The 17,053-nt window shown below is 46.0% G+C and overlaps 1 protein-coding gene across 2 annotated transcripts in view, besides 1 other annotated feature; it reads left to right on the top strand.

Annotated features, from left to right (window-relative positions):
* GMPR (guanosine monophosphate reductase) overlaps positions 1-17,053 on the top strand; it is a 56,963-nt gene that overhangs the window by 4,698 nt on the left and 35,212 nt on the right. For both annotated transcript variants that reach the window (NM_006877.4, XM_047418656.1), the window contains exons 2-4: positions 3,558-3,677; positions 7,000-7,083; positions 11,278-11,451. In NM_006877.4, coding sequence (NP_006868.3) covers positions 3,558-3,677; positions 7,000-7,083; positions 11,278-11,451 — 378 coding nt within the window. The remainder of the gene's footprint in view (positions 1-3,557; positions 3,678-6,999; positions 7,084-11,277; positions 11,452-17,053) is intronic.
* Positions 15,754-16,308: an enhancer, noted in NCBI's record as "NANOG hESC enhancer chr6:16259269-16259823 (GRCh37/hg19 assembly coordinates)". NCBI's record gives its function as "activates a minimal SCP1, AML or CMV promoter by ChIP-STARR-seq in naive H9 embryonic stem cells {active_cell/tissue: H9 hESC(naive)}" and the evidence as "EXISTENCE:reporter gene assay evidence [ECO:0000049][PMID:30033119]".

The raw sequence follows: 17,053 nt of genomic DNA on the forward strand, positions 1-17,053 counted from the left end.
TTCTGATGTGTACCCGGGTGTGCTGGACCAGCCTCTGAAGCCCTTTCCATTTGTGGAACCCTGCGGCTCTCTGGTAGCACTGCAGCTGGGCATGAGCTTCTCACGAGCCTGATAACTGATGGTGAGGCTTTCAGGGCTTGGATCCACATTCAGAGGTCTGGGCTGGGGCCACCAAACACTGCAAAAGGCTGGGGGCCAGAACACAGTATTCTTACCTTTTAGCCAGCCATTAGTTTACCCCATGCTTTTTGAGCCACTAGGACTACAAAGTTGGAAGACGTCCCTGTACTCAGACAGGTGTTACAGCTAATGAGCGATCTATATAATAGATTATGTAATAAAATACAATATGTAAAAGAATTGCTTTACTCGGTACCATCTGTAGATCTAGGAAAAGGAGCCTCTGTCCTGGGTCCCACGTCTGCCCCCCAAATTGCATCCCTCCTCACTGGGCAGGGCCTGTGGGCTATGCTGTTCCTTAGGCCACGCTCCAAGTACTCAGGATCCTGGATCTCCTTCCCCAAGTAACTTTGAGCTGATTCTAAGGCCTGCATGGGCCTCTTGCCCTGGTGTGTTTCCAAGGGCCACCCATGATGCTGGTGTGCTCACCTCCAACCCAGAGTGGCTAAGTGGCAGTTGTTCATGGAAAAGTACGTGGGTATGCACACAGCTTTGTGTGCTGACTGAAGGTGGGGGCCTTTTCCTCTGTGCACACATAAGGATTTGGGTGAGAAGGGAAGAGGGGTGGACTGGGGGCCAGGGCCGGCTCCCCGCTACCATGTTCTGGTGCCTTTCTGGTTGTGAATGAAATTGCTTTTTTTTTTTTTCAGGGTAGGAGGTTAGAACCTATTTTATGTAGCAGTTTGTTCGTTGGACTTACCACATTGAATTATTTAGGAATGTGGTAGGTTGTCCTCTATTTGTACTTTTTTTTTTTTTTTTTTTGAGACAAGGTCTCACTCTTGTCACTCAGGCTGGCATGCAGTAGCATGATCATGGCTCACTGCAGCCTCAGCCTCCGGTGTTCAATCAATCCTCCCACCTCAGCCTCCTGAGTAGCTGGGACTACAGGCTCGCACCACCCAAGCCTGGCTAGTTTTTTCTATTTTGTGTAGAGATGGGGTTTCACCGTGTTGCCCAGGCTGGTCTTGAACTGAGCTCAAGCAATCTGCCTGCCTCAGCCTCCCACGGTACTGGGATTACAGGTGTGAGCTACCACGCCAGCCCATTTGCACTTTTGAGCCCCTGACATGTTGGGTGGCAGGACTGGCTTTAATGAAGGCCTGTTAGAGAGCAGCAGAGATGTGTGTTTGTGGGTGGGGGAGGGGACTTTGTTACTTTATGTTCCCTTTCAGGTCAGGCTTAGACAGGGAATCTAATCTATATTTGGCGTATTGGCCGGCTGTGCCAGACTAAGTGCCAAGTGTTGTTCCTGGGAGGCTGAAATATTTAAAATATTTATCTCTGCTAGTGAACAACTGGCCTGGGTTATGTGTGTGTGTCTGGGTGGATAAAGTTGGGGAAGATCATTTTATTTTTCATTCTTAGAATTAACGATGGCAAAGAGCTAGCTCATAAAAAGGACTGGAAATGAGGGGAAGCGTTTACTGTTAAGGCTGCCCTTTTCCATGAAGAGCTCTGTGTTTTGTGTCCTGCTGATAGGTTTTGGAGTGCCAAGAAAAACCCATTGTGATCTCAGCCGGGTGCAGAGTGTAGCAGCTAGCCCCATGCCTGTTGGAGGATAGAAGAGTAATTTGAGACCAAGGAATTGATTGTTTCAAGCCTGCCAAGCCAAATGTTACAGAGCCATTAGCCACACACAGGGTTGCTATGGGTAGGTCCCTTCAGTTCTCTTTCAGAATGTCACTATAAACGTGCTCCACTGAAGTAGAACCCAGAGTCATCAGGAAGGAGGTGGAGAAAGGGACGTGCCACTGCGTAGGTTCGTGCACTTCCAGCATCTCATTTCTCCTCACTGATGGCTGTGTGAGGCCTGTGCAGTCATGTTTATGACATCATTCACCCAGGACGCCTTCTGGACACAAAACCCGGTGTTGAGAAGCAAGAGAAATGTAAAGGCTAAAGGGCCAGAGCGGTCCCATGGTGTTTTCTGACTTAATGCTGATCGCAAAGTGAAAGTTGCCTCAAGTGAAAAAAATGAGAGGAGCATCTAGGTAAACACTGGCAGAAAATGACTCTTGCTGGTGTAATTCATGAAGCCAGGGTTAATGTAGGTCTAAGTTACTGCAGAAGCATAAGATTCATACCTGTGCTCCTCTGGCCAGTTCCCCTTGGGGAAGCACCCACTTCTAATGTAGTTTGTGTCTATCGGAGTCCAGCCAGAGAAACAAACGATGCTGACTGTTTAAAACATGGAATTGAATGCGGGGCATTCTGACACAACTGAGGATATTAAGGCACCCCAGAGATCAGCAACAGCGAGAAGCCACCCCTTCCTTAGGGTGAGGGTCGGAGGGAGAAGACAGTGCTCTGGAGCCCAGGAAGGGACTGGGCTTGCTTAGGGAAAGCTGGAACAAGGAATACGCAGGCCTCTCTGGTCGGAGGATCCAGGCCCGGAGGCAACCCAGCTGTTCTGGAGAAGCTGTCTAAGGCAGAGGGGTTCTGGGAGAACTACCCTGACTTCCGCCAACCTCTGCCTGCCACTGTCCTCCAGTTTCCCACCCAGTGTCCTCCATTGGCCCATCCCAGCCAGAAATGAACTTGAGAAATGGAGCCTGTAGCAGTTAGCCTTCCTGGGATAAGAGCAGGCTGAGGATGGTGGGTGGGCAGACAGGCTGGCATCTGCCGTGGGTCAGAGAAGTAATTCGGACTCTTCTAGCTCTTGGTGAGTTCCTGGCTCTATCTAGCACGTGGCTTCTGTCAAGCCCACCCTTGTGACTGTGTTGTTCTGGATTGCCGATAGCAAGGTTAGTCCTACATGCCCCGATCTTGAAGTTGCAGGAGAATTGGAGCCCCCTGACCTCCCCACCCAGCTGCTTGCAAGTCAAAGGAACAAGTGTTGATATGCAGGAACATATGGTTGCAATGTACTTTCCACCAGCTTTTTGAAAGATCCTCATAATTAAAGCAGCCGTGGAGGGTAAAAGGCGAAGGGATTAATTGTGTGGCGCTCACTGCAGGGTGAATTTGGAGTGTGGCTCTAGGTGAAAGGTAAGAAGTGAAGGGATTGTTCCAGGAGGAGGGCCATGGTTGGCAAGGAAGAGTGGAGCAGATCCTCCCAGGAGGGGAATGGTTTCTATAGGGCTTGCGGGTGGGGCGAAGATAACATGTATGTGGGTCTTTAGGGAAGTGGATAGAAGGAGGCAGTGGGGTTGGAGAGGCTGGGAAAGTAGGAGAGAGCTTCCGATTCCGAGGCTTGTCTTGACGGCGGAATTTCCGCTCTGGTGTCTTTGGAATACCTGTCTTTGACCCCTAAGAGAATCCAGGGACCTTTGTCTTGTTCCTACTCGCTCCAAACTCCAGAAATTCTGCACATTTCACATAAGAGCAAAGCACTCATTTCTTTCCCTTTTTCTTTCTTTTTTTTTGGCCAACAGGTGGATCTTGAACGCACCTTCACGTTTCGAAATTCAAAGCAGACCTACTCAGGGATTCCCATCATCGTGGCCAACATGGACACTGTGGGCACGTTTGAGATGGCAGCCGTGATGTCACAGGTGAGGCGGTAGGCTTTTGTTTTTTCCCTTTGCTGCTCACACTGTGGACAGGTTATCAGGAGCCGACCCTGGCTTTATTCAGACACAAGGAAGAGTAGAAATGTGAGCTGCTTTGGGTCATTCTCTGTCTTTCCCTTCAATCAGAAAGTGGACGGTGTCTGGACTTTGGGTTCAATGAGAAGGTCTAGATCTGCATCCATTGCTTCTGTGAAAATGACTGTGATGGTTTTGGAAATTAGAGATACAAAAAGAAGCTAGACAACATGAAGAGTGCCATATTGCAGAAAAGTGACAACCCCTTTAAAATTAAGACAGAGCTGCTTTGTATGCAGTCCGTGCTGCAGCATTTACTGTATAATTATGTTGAATACATGTATCGAGCGCTTATGTACGAAACACTGCAGATAATGTATTTCTTTTTTTTTTTTTTTAAGACAGAGTCTCACTGTGTCGCCCAGGCTGGAGTACAGTGACGTGATCTTGGCTCACTGCAACATTCGCCTCCCTGGTTCAAACAATTCTCCTGCCTCAGCCTCCCAAGTAGCTAGGACTACAGGCACATGCCACCATGCCCAGCTAATTTTTGTATTTTTAGTGAAGATGGGGTTTCACCGTGTTGGCCAAGCTGGCCTTGAACTCCTGACCTCAGGTGATCCGCCTGCCTTGGCCTACCCAAGTGCTGGGATTACAGGCATGAGTTACCATGCCCGGCCTGTATCTCTTAATTCTTGACGCAACTCAACAAGATAGGTTCCTTTTACAGATGAGGAAACTGAGGCAGAGAGGGGAGGGGTAGGTCACTTGCCCTAGGCCCTCAGCCAGATGTATACAGAGAGAGAATCAGGATTCCAGCTGAAACTGACTCTAGAATCTAAGGAATTTACCCCTTAACTTAAATGGATGATCACATTGAAAGCTCAAAGTCTCTTTTAGCCAAGTACACCAGCCTAATTTTCTGTAAAGAGGGTAGCTAATATCCTTGCTTTGGCTGGGCATAGTGGCTCACACCTGTAATCCCAGGATTTGGGGAGGTGGAGGCAGGCGGATTGCTTGAGCTCAGGAGTTCAAGACCAGACTGGGCAACATGGCGAAGCATCATTTCTACAAAAAAATATGAAAATTGGCCAGGTGTGGTGGTGTGAGCCTGTAGTCCCAGCTACTCGGGAGGCTGAGGTGGGAAGATCACTTGAGCTGGGAGGCGGAGGTTGCAGTGAGCCAAGATTGCGCCACTGCACTCCAGCCTGGGTGACAGAGCAAGAAGACCCTGTCTCAAAAAAAAAAAAAAAAAAAAAAAAAAATTCATTGTATAGATCAATCTGAGAAGTACTGTTTGTTAAAATAAAATTAAAAAAAAATTAAAAATGGTGTCCTCGCTTTGGGAAAAATAAAGGAAAACCCATTTGTGGGCAGGACATTTATGGGTGAGGTGCAGAGCGTCTTCTGCATCCTAGATGTGGAATGTCTGCTGCACTCAGGGGTTCTGTCTTTCCTGTGGATAATGCCTGCCAAGTGAAAAGATAAATCCAATTAGTTGAGAGAGCTTCTCACTGTGGGCAGCAAGTCTGACCACAGGAGACACTGAGATTCATTATTAGCCAGTGATTCGACGGAAAATATTCTCAAATAAATTATGAGCTCCCAAAATGGAGTAGGGGTGGTCTGTCGGATTCCGTGATCACTTGCATTGTCTGTCAGACCTCAGCCCCTACTGAGCGTTGGGCCAGAGGCTAATAAATTAATTGCTAAGGAACTGGTATTTTTTTCTCCTCACCCTTTCCCTGCTCTGCTCTGTCATCAGCCATTGCTACTAATGAATTATGTGTTAGTATAAAAGTGAGGGGAACCAGGGAGCAGTCAAGTCTGATTAATTCACATAATAGATTATAGTCCAGGAAAAACCTAGGACTCGCTGTGCTCTTCCCATTTTCCTAGGAAGTCTCCCTGCTAACAGAATAGCATAGACTGGTGTAGCTAACCATGGGTGGCTACTGTGAATTTTCCGTTTCTAGGATCCATAGAACTAGCACAAGTTACTAAAGTCATAGAAGTTTAGAATGAGAAGTTGTAGATGGGGACATAGGTAGCCCCAGAGAAGTTAGGTGGGAGGCTTCTGTTAAAGGGCAAGGTGTCCAATCTCCGTAGTCAGATCCAAGTTTGACTCTGGCCTTTTCCTCTTCCCCGCCATGCAGTTGTTACATTTTGTAATTTTTTTTTTTTTTTTTTTTTTTGAGATGGAGTTTCACTCTTGTTGCCCAGGCTGGAGTGCAATGGCACCATCTTGGCTCACCGCAACCTCCATCTCCCAGGTTCAAGTGATTCTCCTGCCTCAGCCTCCTGAGTAGCTGGGATTACAGGTGCTCTACCATGCCCGGCTAATTTTTTGTATTTAGTAGAGATGGGGTTTCACTATGTTAGTCAGGCTGGTTTTGAACTCCTGACCTCAGGTGATCCACCCACCTCAGCCTCCCCAAATGCTGGGATTACAGGAATGTGCCACCACGCTTAGCAAATTTTAAAAGTTTGATTTGTTTTATGTTTTTTAAATAGACATGGGGTCTTGCCATGTTGCTAGGCTGGTCTCAAACTCCTGGGCTTAAGTGATCCTCCTGCCTCGGCCTCCTAAAGTGCTGGGATTACAGGCGTAAGCCACCATGCCTGGGCAACTTAAACTGCTTAAGCTCCATTTATGCCCACGAAGCTAATAATGCTGTTCAAAGTTGTTCCAAAAATTAAATGAAACGACTGACACAAAGCGGGTCATAAATGCTGGGGCAGTAGTCATAGGTTTAGGGTTATACTTTATATAATTCCCACCGGCAAGATTTAATGGATTTACCTTTTAGCAAGAAGTGTTCCGGTTGTGAGCACAAGAGAAAGCTTTCAGGGATAAGGTGGGGTTCTTCAGGGTCGGCTAAGCAGAAGTTTGTGTTAGGATGGTCCTTCTGGGCAGGGGACCTGCTGCCTGGTTTTCTCTTTGGACCATCAGTGCTGCTTTTGGCCTAATACAGGTGTGGGTGGGAGCCTGGGTGGGCTGGGTAGGGCTCTGAGAATTCTCTTTTATCCCTCTCCTGCCTCCTGGCAGAGCCTCCCTAGTCCTGAATGCGGTATTGTCTAACCAGATTAGAATGGGAAACAGGGTTTTATGATTTCAATGGTTGTACCTTTGTTTGGTTTTGGCTGCTAGGAGCACATTCAAAGCAAATTAAGCATGGATGGCAGGAACACTGATGCCTTTGTCTTGTTGGATCACCACCTCCAGATGGAGGAGGGAGGGGGGCTCTCACTTGGCTTCCCATCCTAATGGTGCTGTTTTGTTTTCTAGCACTCCATGTTTACAGCAATTCATAAGCATTACTCCCTGGATGACTGGAAGCTCTTTGCCACAAATCACCCAGAATGCCTGCAGGTACGACTACAGCCTGGTTATCAATTACCAGTGCTGCAGGGGGGAACAAAATCTTCAGAGCTGTCAAGAGGATTTCAGTCAGTAGCAGAGAGACATTGAGAGTTCGGTGTTTCTCTAGCCCTGTGCCATTGCCAGGGATTTGCTGAGAAAACTTGTTTCCATATTGTATTATTAAAATACTAGGATTTATCTGTAAGAAATGTCTGTTTTCCCCTGAAAGATGAAGTGTGTTATATCCCAAGAGCTTGGGGAAGACCTGTGTTTCCTGCCAGGTAATTCAAGGTAGATCCAGTCTTTTGGCTGTAGAAAAAACTTCTGAGTATAACAAGGTGCTTTAGAGTTGAGTAAACATTATTCCCACCAGGATGGCTGTCATCAAAAAGACAGATAATAGCCAGGCACCGTGGGTCATGCCTGTAATCCCAGCACTTTGGGAGGCTGAGGTGGGAGGATTGCTTGAACCCAGGAGTTCAAGGCCAGCCTGGTCAACATAGTGAGGGGTCTCTTTTTAAAAAAAAAAAAGACAATAAATGTTGTTGAGGATGTGGAGGAACTGGAACCCTTATTCACTGCTGGGAATGGAAAATGGTGCAGCTGCTTTGGAAAACAGTTGTCAGTTCCTGGAACGTTAACCATAAGAGTTGCCATGTGACCCAGCAATTCCATTTCTAGGTATAGACTCAACAGAAATTAACACATTTCCACAGAAAAACTTGTACATGAATGTTCATGGCAGCGTTATTCATAATAGCCCAAAAGTAGACACAACCCAAATGTCTATCAGTGGGTGAAAGGACATACAAAATAAGGTATATCCATACAGTGGAATATTGTTCAACCGTAAGAAGGAGTCAAGGTCTGATACAGGCTACAGCATGGATGAACCTTGAGGACATTTCACTAAGTGAAAAAGCCAGACGCAGCCCGGCGCGGTGGCTCACGCCTGTAATCCCAGAACTTTGGGAGGCCGAGTCGGGTGGATCACCTGAGGTCGGGAGTTCGAGTCCAACCTGCCCAACATGGAGAAACCCTGTCTTTACTAGAAATACAAAATTAGCCGGGCGTGGTGGCGCATGCCTGTAATCCCAGCTACTCAGGAAGCTGAGGCAGGAACATTGCTTTAACCCCGGAGGCAGAGGTTGCAGTTAGCCACGATTGTGCCATTGCACTCCAGCCTGGGCAACGAGAGCGAAACTCTGTCTCAGAAAAGAAAAGGCCACACGCAAAGGCCAGAGCATCTATGATCCTATTTCTAGGAAATGTCCAGAATAGGCAAATCTAAGTCATAAAATAGATTAGTGGCCTGAGGGGCTGAGGAAGTTTGAGAGGGAGTGTGGTTAAGGGGTATGAGACTTTCTTTGGGAGGGTTATGAAAATATTCTAAAATCTATCATGATGGTTACAGAACTCTAAATATACTAAAAATCATTGAATTGTGCATGTTGAATGGGTGAACTGTATGGTATGTCATTATATTTCAAGAAGCCATTAAAAAAAAACAACAGAAAGCCTTGCTGCAACATGCCTGCACTTGCTCCTGCCACATTCAGGTGGTTCTGAGCTGAAGCCACAGACAGGTCTCCCTGGGTTAGAGGTGTTCCCTGCTGGTCAGATCATTTATGATTGGAAAATGACTTCAGGTCGTACTGTTTTCAAGGTCTCACTGGCTTTTTGGGGTTGTCGTTACTGTGCTTTAATTATGTGTGGATTTTGATTAGTGAAAAAGTGGTTTTGGATATAAAATAATTCTGACTCAATAGTAAGTCCTTCATTTTTGCCATATTGTGTTCAAGTGAATTGTGTTTGTTTTCACTTTCTTCTGTTTTTCCCTATAATAAGTTTGGGAATAATGATTTTCTTTTTGTCTTTTTCTCAGACCTCCCTCTAACTTCTTTTATTTTTTTTGTTTGAGGCAGAGTTTTGCTCTTGTCACCCAGACTGGAGTGCAATGGCGTGATCTCTGCTCACTGCAGCCTCCACCTCCCGGGTTCAATTGATTTTCCTGCCTCAGCCTCCTGAGTAGCTGGGATTACAGGTGCGCAACACCTAGCCTGGCTAAATTTTTGTATTTTTAGTAGAGACAAGGTTTCACCATGTTGACCTGAAATGATCCACCCACCTCGGCCTCCTAAAGTGCTGGGATTATAGGCATGAGCCACCATGCCCGGCCTCCCTCCACCTTCTTTAAGGGAGTTTTTGGCAATGTATTGTTAACTGGAACTGTGGCTTTCATTACCAAGTGTGATACATCGACTTACTACACAGCCCGCCACCAAATAAAAGGCGAATTCAAAAGGGATAATGTTAAAAACTTAGTAGCAGTGAGAGAAGGCAACCAATCTCAAGTTCCATATAGTATACTTAGACAGAAATGAAGTAAGATAAAAAAAGCAGAGCTCTGGTGGGAGGGAGAGTGGGCTTGTGTGGATTGGGCTGGCACAGGGCAGAGCTGTGAACCACGAGGCCCAGGCGTGAATGCACAGAGAAGGCTGGAGTAAATATGTGTCATGTTAACCATCAGCTCACTCTCAGTCTCTGCACTGCAGCCACATTGTTATCATTTGGGGGAATAACATAAAGGATATTAAGATAGGCCACTCATATGTGGCCCAGGGTTTAGAGATAAGAGTTAAAATATAAACAATCCATGTCTTAGTTTCACTAAGGCATAAATTAGTGAAAGCAAGTCCTTGCCCAAGGGGCAGATGTTCAGAGAAGGGAGAGGTGTGAGGTTCAGGGGCACTGGTGGAAGTTAAGGGACAAGGGTGTTACAGGGGAGAATGTGGTGGCTTCAGATTTAAACATGTACAAGTGTAGTTGTGAAAGATCATGTCAGGCTTGTTTGTTTTCACACCTTGGGAAATTTTATCCCTTTAATAGGAAAACAGATTTGCAATTCTGTGTACAGGTTGAGATTTGCATGCTGTATTAGGTTGTTCTTGCATTGCTTTAGAGAAATACCTGAAACTGGGTAATTTATAAAGAAAAGAGATCTAATTGGCTAATGGTTCTGCAGGCTGTACAGGAAGCATAGTGCCACCCATTTGCTTTTGGGAAGGCCTTGGGAAGCTTCCAATCATGGTGGAAGGCGAAGTGGGAGAGAGAAAGAGAGGGTGGGAGGTCACACACTTTTAATGACCAGATCTCCTGTGAACTCAGACCGAGAGATCACCAAGGGGATGGCCCAAGCCATTGATAAGGGATCCACCCCCATGACCCATACACCTCCCACCAGGCCCCACCTCCACTGGGGGGGGGTCATATTTCAACATGAGATTTGGGTGAGGACAATATCCAAACTATGTCACATGCTGCACTATTATTTTATTGGGAGTGAAAATAAAAATAGGTAAGAGTTTTTCAGAGGCATTTCAGATATCATCCCCTCTCTTGCTCCCCAAGCAAGGTGCTCAGGGTGAAGGCCACAGCTTTCATGTGGGGAAGCCCGAGTTGATTGGCCATTTCTCCTTCTTCCTGGAAACTTTTGGTTCTTGCTTATTGTCCTCCCTTGAGTTTCCCTGATATGACACAATCATGCCGGTAGTCATTATTTTTTTTTTTAGTGGCGGGGTGGGGTTTGGCGGACGGAACCTTGCTCTGTTGCCCAGACTGGAGTGCAATGGCACAATCTCGGCTCACTGCAACCTCCGCCCCCCAGGTTCAAGCTATTCTCCTGCCTCAGCCTCCCAAGGAGCTGGGATTACAGGCACCTGCCACCACGCCTGGCTAATTTTTATATTTTTAATAGAGACAGAGTTTCACCATGTTGGCCAGGCTTGTCTCGAACTCCTGACCTCAGGTAATCCACCTGCCTCGGCCTCTCAAAGTGCTGGGATTACAGGCATGAGCCACCACACTTGGCTAATTTTTGTATTCTTAGTAGAGATGGGGTTTCACCATGTTGGCCAGGCTGGTCTCAAACTCCTGACCTCAGGTGATCTGCCCGCCTTGGCTTCCCAAAGTGCTAGGATTACAGCATGAGCCACCGTGCCTGGCCAAAGTTTAGATAATTTAATGAATGAATCCCCTTTACCTCTGCTGTTGCATGTGTCTTGAGCAGGTGCACTGTGCATTTGATTAGGGTAGACCGAAAAGGGTTGTTGTACTGTCCCAGAATAGGTGCATAAATGGGGGCAGGGTCTGATGTCTGAATGCTACTGTTTATGCCTGTCTTCTTGGTTTATTTTGGTGCAGAATGTAGCCGTGAGTTCAGGCAGTGGGCAGAATGATCTGGAAAAGATGACCAGCATCCTGGAAGCTGTGCCACAGGTTAAGTTTATTTGCCTGGATGTGGCCAATGGGTATTCAGAACATTTTGTGGAATTCGTGAAACTTGTCCGTGCCAAATTTCCTGAACACACCATTATGGTAAGTACGGTAGAACATTACGGTAGAACATTCTCAAGATGGGGAAGCCACGAGGGAGTTGTTCAATGTGTCGGGGGAGCTGTATCCTCTTCAGAGCTTTTGGTGCCTCTTTAGTCAAAGATTAATTGAGGATCATTTGGGAAAGGATAGGTAGCCGCTGCGGAAGATCTGAAAACTAGCTTCCCTCTATAAAAAATAAAATCCCCATCAACTTCATAGGATGTTGGCTGCAATTTTTCCTAAGTATCATCACATGTTTCTTACTATCTGATACTTTTTCTTTTTTTTTTTTTGAGAAGGAGTCTCACTCTGTCCACCCAGGCTGGAGTACAGTGGGGTGATCTCGGCTCACTGCAACCTATGCCTTCCAGGTTCAAAAGATTCTTGTACCTCAGCCTCACAAGTAGCTGGGATTACAGGCGCCCATCACCATGCCTGGCTAATTTTTTGTATTTTTAGTAGAGACGGGGTTGCACCATGTTGGCCAGGCTGGTCTCGAACTCCTGACCTCAGGTGATCCACCCACCTTGATCTCCCAAAGTGCTGAGATTACAGGTGTGAGCCACCACACTCAGCCCCATATGATACCTTTAAAAGGGGTTTGTATTACTTCTTAACAGAGAGTGTATTTTAAGATTGAAAACGTGACTGGGTTTGAGTGTCACATATGTAGGTCCTCCATGTCCCACCCCTACTGCCAGCAGGAAACTCTGCTGTAGGAATTGGGAGTCTACGTTATGAACATTTCACGACAGTCTACTATCGATGGTGAATCGGTCAGTGGTGTGTTTTATCTAGGAGCTTTGTTTCTTGACTTTTCCTGTATTTTCCTAATTATCTGCACCTTACCTAGTTAGAATGTAGATTTGTGACTTTTGGGAAAGATGGATTGGCAGAAAAAGGGACTTAGCAGCTCTAGAGTACAACTTGGGCTTTTGCAAAAACCTGTATTGTAATTATGCAAGTCTTTGCTAATTCTAATTATGATGGCACATACTGATTGACCACTAGATAATTTACCTACCCCTTCCTTTTTTGAATTTTGAACTTCGTTTCTTCTCATATATGTTATCATTGTAAGAAAGTTGGGAGGAAGGAATTGTTATGGAGTAAAGTCTTCTTCTAAAGGACTTTCAAGGATTGTTAAGGATTTTTATGTTTTTCAAACACATAGGAAGAAAGGATCAAGAATTGTTCCAGCTGGGCGCAGTGGCTCACGACTGTAATCCCAGCACTTTGGGAGGCCGAGGCAGGTGGATCACCTGAGGTCAGGAATTTGAGACCAGCCTGGCCAACATGGCGAAACCGTGTCTCTACTAAAAATACAAAAATTAGCCAGCCGTGATGGCGGGTGCCTGTAATCCCAGCTACTTAGGAGGCTGAGGCAGGAGAATCTCTTGAACCCAGGAGGTGAAGCTTGCAGTGAGCCGAGATCACACCACTGCACTCCAGCCTGGGCAACAGAGGGAGACTCCGTCTCAAAAAAAAAAAAAGAATTGGCCGGGTGCAGTGGCTAATGCCTGTAATCCCAGCACTTTGGGAGGCCGAGGTGGGTGGATCATGAGGTCAAGAGTTCAAGACCAGCCTGGCCAAGATGGTGAAACCCTGCATCTACTAAAAAAAAAAAAAAAAAAAAATAGAAAAATTAGCCAGGCATGGTGGCAGATGACTGTAATCCCAGCTACTTGGGAGGCTGAGGCAGAGAATTGCTCGAACCCGGGAGGCAAAGGTGGCTGTGAGCCGAGATCTCACCATTGCACTCTAGCCTGGGAGACAGAGTGAGACTCTGTCTCAAAAAAAAAAAAAAAAAAAAAAAGAGTTGTTCCAAGGTCAACCAGCTGTACCAGTGTTAGAAGTGGGTTGGGAAATAGAAAAATTCACTTTGTTCTCTGTAATAGAACAGCCAACTTCATTGCTTTTGATAATGATGTTTGTTGAATACTGTTAAATAATAAGAAATGTATATGTGTTTATTGGTCTCAGCCCTTGGTTCTTGAGACAGAACTCCTAAAACCCTTGTAGATAAGGGTGCTAAGAGAATCTTTTGTTCTAATATTTGGTCATTGATCCTGATTGCTGACACAGAGCTTCTAGAACCTTTGTAATTTCCAGAGTGATGACAGCACCTGGCACAGAGCTTCTGAATCCCTTGAGATTTCCTGGGTGGTAGGAGTAGCTTTTGTTCTAATATTTAATCTTTGACCCTGGTTCCTGACACATGGCTCTTAAATCCCTTGGGATTTCCTGGGTGATAGCAGCACAGCTGCTCTTGTCCTAACAAGGCGACTCTTAATGGGCTCCTGTGTGGGGGTTGGTCATCAGATAGAACAAGCCATGATTAGAAGCTTGGAGCTTCTGGCTCCATCCTCCATTTTCCAGAGAGGGGAGAGGGCTGGAAGTAGAGTTAATAATCCATTATGCCTCCTTGACGAGGCCTTCACAGAAACCCCCAAAGTATGGGGTTTTGAAAGCTTCCTGGCGGGTAACACGTCTACATGCCTGGAGGGTGGCAGACCCCAGCTCTGTGGGTCCAGCACTCTGGACTCTTCCAGACCTCACCCTATGTCTCGCTTCATCAGGCTGTTCATCTGTATCCTTCATCATAGCCCTTATTAATACGATAAACTGGTAAACATTCCATAAGTGGTCATCCTTTATGTCTTTTATCTTCTTTTTCTTGATAGTATATTTGAGATTCACCACATTGCTTTATGTCAGCTGTATATATATATTCCTTGGTTCCTGAAGCTAATCTTTAATATCATTTCCTAGATACCTCACTTGCTCTTTTTCCTTCTCTTTACTTTCCAGCTGGTTGTATCGCTGTTAAACTCACTCCTTAATGCTCTTTGTCTGAGTCTGTTTAGTCTGCTAGCATAAAATACCATAAACTGACTGGTGTATAAACAACAGAAAATTGCTCACAGTTCTGGAGGCTGGAATTCCAAAATCAAGGTGTTGGCTGATTTAGTGTCTAGTTTCACCGTTCCTCATAGGTGGTGCTTTCTTGCTGCATCTTCATATGGTGGAAGAGGCATACAGGCTCCTTGGAACCTCTCTTGTGAGGGCACTAATCGCATTCATGAAGGCTGCACCCTTATGACCTAATCACCTCCCAAAGGCCCTGCCTCCTAATGCCATTGGATTGAAGATTCAGTTTCAGCATAGGAATCTGTGGGGGACACAAACATTCAGCCCATAGCACCCCAGAAGTCAGTGTGGGCACATGAGCTGAGTCACACTGGGGAAATCGCATTCTTTCTGAATCTCACTTTCCTCACCTGTGAAAAGGAGGTTGAGGATCCTCGTGGCTGGAGAATGACTCGGGCTCAGATGGGATGCTGTTTTGTAACAGTGCCACCTTCACTAGCATTTGCTCGTCTCTGGTGAGTGTCATCAAGGGCACATGCTCTGAGAACTGAGTCAGAGATGGAGAAGAAAGATGGAGGGTAATGTGGGGTTTAAGAAGAGAGAGAAAATGTGTGTCACTCTTTAAAATGACAAGTGATAGCAGAAATGCATTAGTGCTCCCAAGCTGTCCATTACATTCTCCAAACTGGAGCTGCTGTGGGGTGTAGTTCACAGCTGGGCCTGCTGAGAACTGTGAGCTGCCTGTTGGACAGCCTAGAGAGCCTGCATGTCACCTCTGAAGGACAAAGACCAGGAAGGAGGGAAGTGCAGGAAGGAGGGGGCTGGGTAAGACGAGGGAAAGGGTGTTGTTGCCAGTGCAGAACTTAGGAGTTGCTATGGGGGAGTTTACTGGGAGGGAGGAGATCGGTTCAGAGTTCCCACAGCTGTCTGGGAAGCCACCAACAGCGAGGCCCTCTCCAGCACCCGCTGGCTGGCTGGCCCAGGGGTATGTTTTCATTGCTCTTGTTGGTTTCCCCAGCAATGAACAGGAGACTTTGGCAAGGTAGGTGTTTATTCTTAAGCTGTTCTGTGCCTGCATTGACCCTTGAAATCTGTGATTCTTTTGGAAACCTCCAGTACTTTTATGTCCTTGGTTTTTGGTGTTTTTGAAACATAATTTCTTATGGCTTTTGGAGGCATTGTGAAGACGCATTCACATTTTTCCAGTGTTTTGGAATGAATGATGTAATATGAGGGCTGAGTGTTATGGAATGGAGTGTTATTACGATTGTTACAATACAGTGAACAGAAAGGATGCTCACAAACGTTCCAGGAAGAAGCTGGCAGTTCCTGGCCTCTGCACCAGGAGTGAGGGCTTGTCGCTCCCTGTGCCCAGTTTCTCCTGGTTTTTTTTCCTTGCCTTTTTTCATGTGCGTCCGTGTGAAGAGACCACCAAACAGGCTTTGTTTGAGCAACATGGCTGTTTATTTCACCTGGGTGCAGGCGGGCTGAGTCCGAAAAGAGAGTCAGCGAAGGGAGATAGGGGTGGGGCCGTTTTATAGGATTTGGGTAGGTAAAGGAAAATTACAGTCAAAGAGGGGTTGGTTTGTTCTCTGGCGGGCAGAGTAGGGGTCACAAGGTGCTCAGTAGGGGAGCTTTTGAGCCAGGATGAGCTAGGAGAAGGAATTTCACAAGGCAATGTCATCAGTTAAGGCAGGAACAGGCCATTTTCACTTCTTTTGTGGTAGAATGTCATCAGTTAAGGCAGGAACCGGCCATCTGGATGTGTACCTGCAGGTCACAGGGGATATGATGGCTTAGCTTGGGCTCAGAGGCCTGACATTCCTGTCTTCTTATGTTAATAAGAAAAATAAAACAAAATAGTGGTAAAGTGTTGGGACGGTGAAAATTTTTGGGGATGGTATGGGGAGATAATGGGCGATGTTTCTCAGGGCTGCTTCGAGTGGGATTAGGGGCGGCGTGGTAACCTAGAGTGGGAGAGATTAAGCCGAAGGAAGATTTTGTGGTAAGGGTTGATATTGTGGGACTGTTAGAAGAAACATTTGTCATTTAGAATTATTGGTGATGGCCTGGATACGGTTTTTGTATGAATTGAAAAACTAAACGGAATAAGAGAAGGAGAAAAACAGGTATTAAAGGTCTAAGAATTGGGAGGACCTAGGACATCTAATTAGAGTGCCTAAGGAAATTCAGCATAGTCCTGTCAGCAAAGATTATTTATTTACTTCAAGAGTTAAGAGTGGCAGTTTGGGGATAGCACCAGGAGATATCAGCTGTGATGGCTTGGAGAAACAGTGTAAACCGGCAGTGTAAACAAGAGCAGGGCATGTATGAGTAGTTGAGAATGGTGAATAGGAGTATGACTAGACAGAAGATAGTAGGGATGACAAGTTTTTTTGGGGCACAGTCTAAGTTGGTCTGGTGTCTGGAATGAGACTGGGGCCTAATAAAAAGGAGCGTCTATACAGGAGCTCAAATAGGCTGTACTTTGTAGCATTCTGAGGACAGGTCTGACTTCTGAGAAGGGAAAGTGGTAAAAGTATTGTCCAGTCCTTTTTAAGTTGGTGGCTGAGCTTGGTGAAGTGTGTTTTTAAAAGACCTTTAGTCCGTTCTACTTTTCCTGAAGACTGAGGACCGTAAGGGATATAAAGGTTTCACTGAATACTAAGAGCCTGAAAAACTGCTTGGCTGATTTGACTAATAAAGGCTGGTCTGTTATCAGACTGTATAG

Source organism: Homo sapiens, chromosome 6, assembly GCF_000001405.40.
Source record: "Homo sapiens chromosome 6, GRCh38.p14 Primary Assembly".
In the NCBI taxonomy this organism is placed as follows: Eukaryota; Metazoa; Chordata; class Mammalia; order Primates; family Hominidae; genus Homo; species Homo sapiens.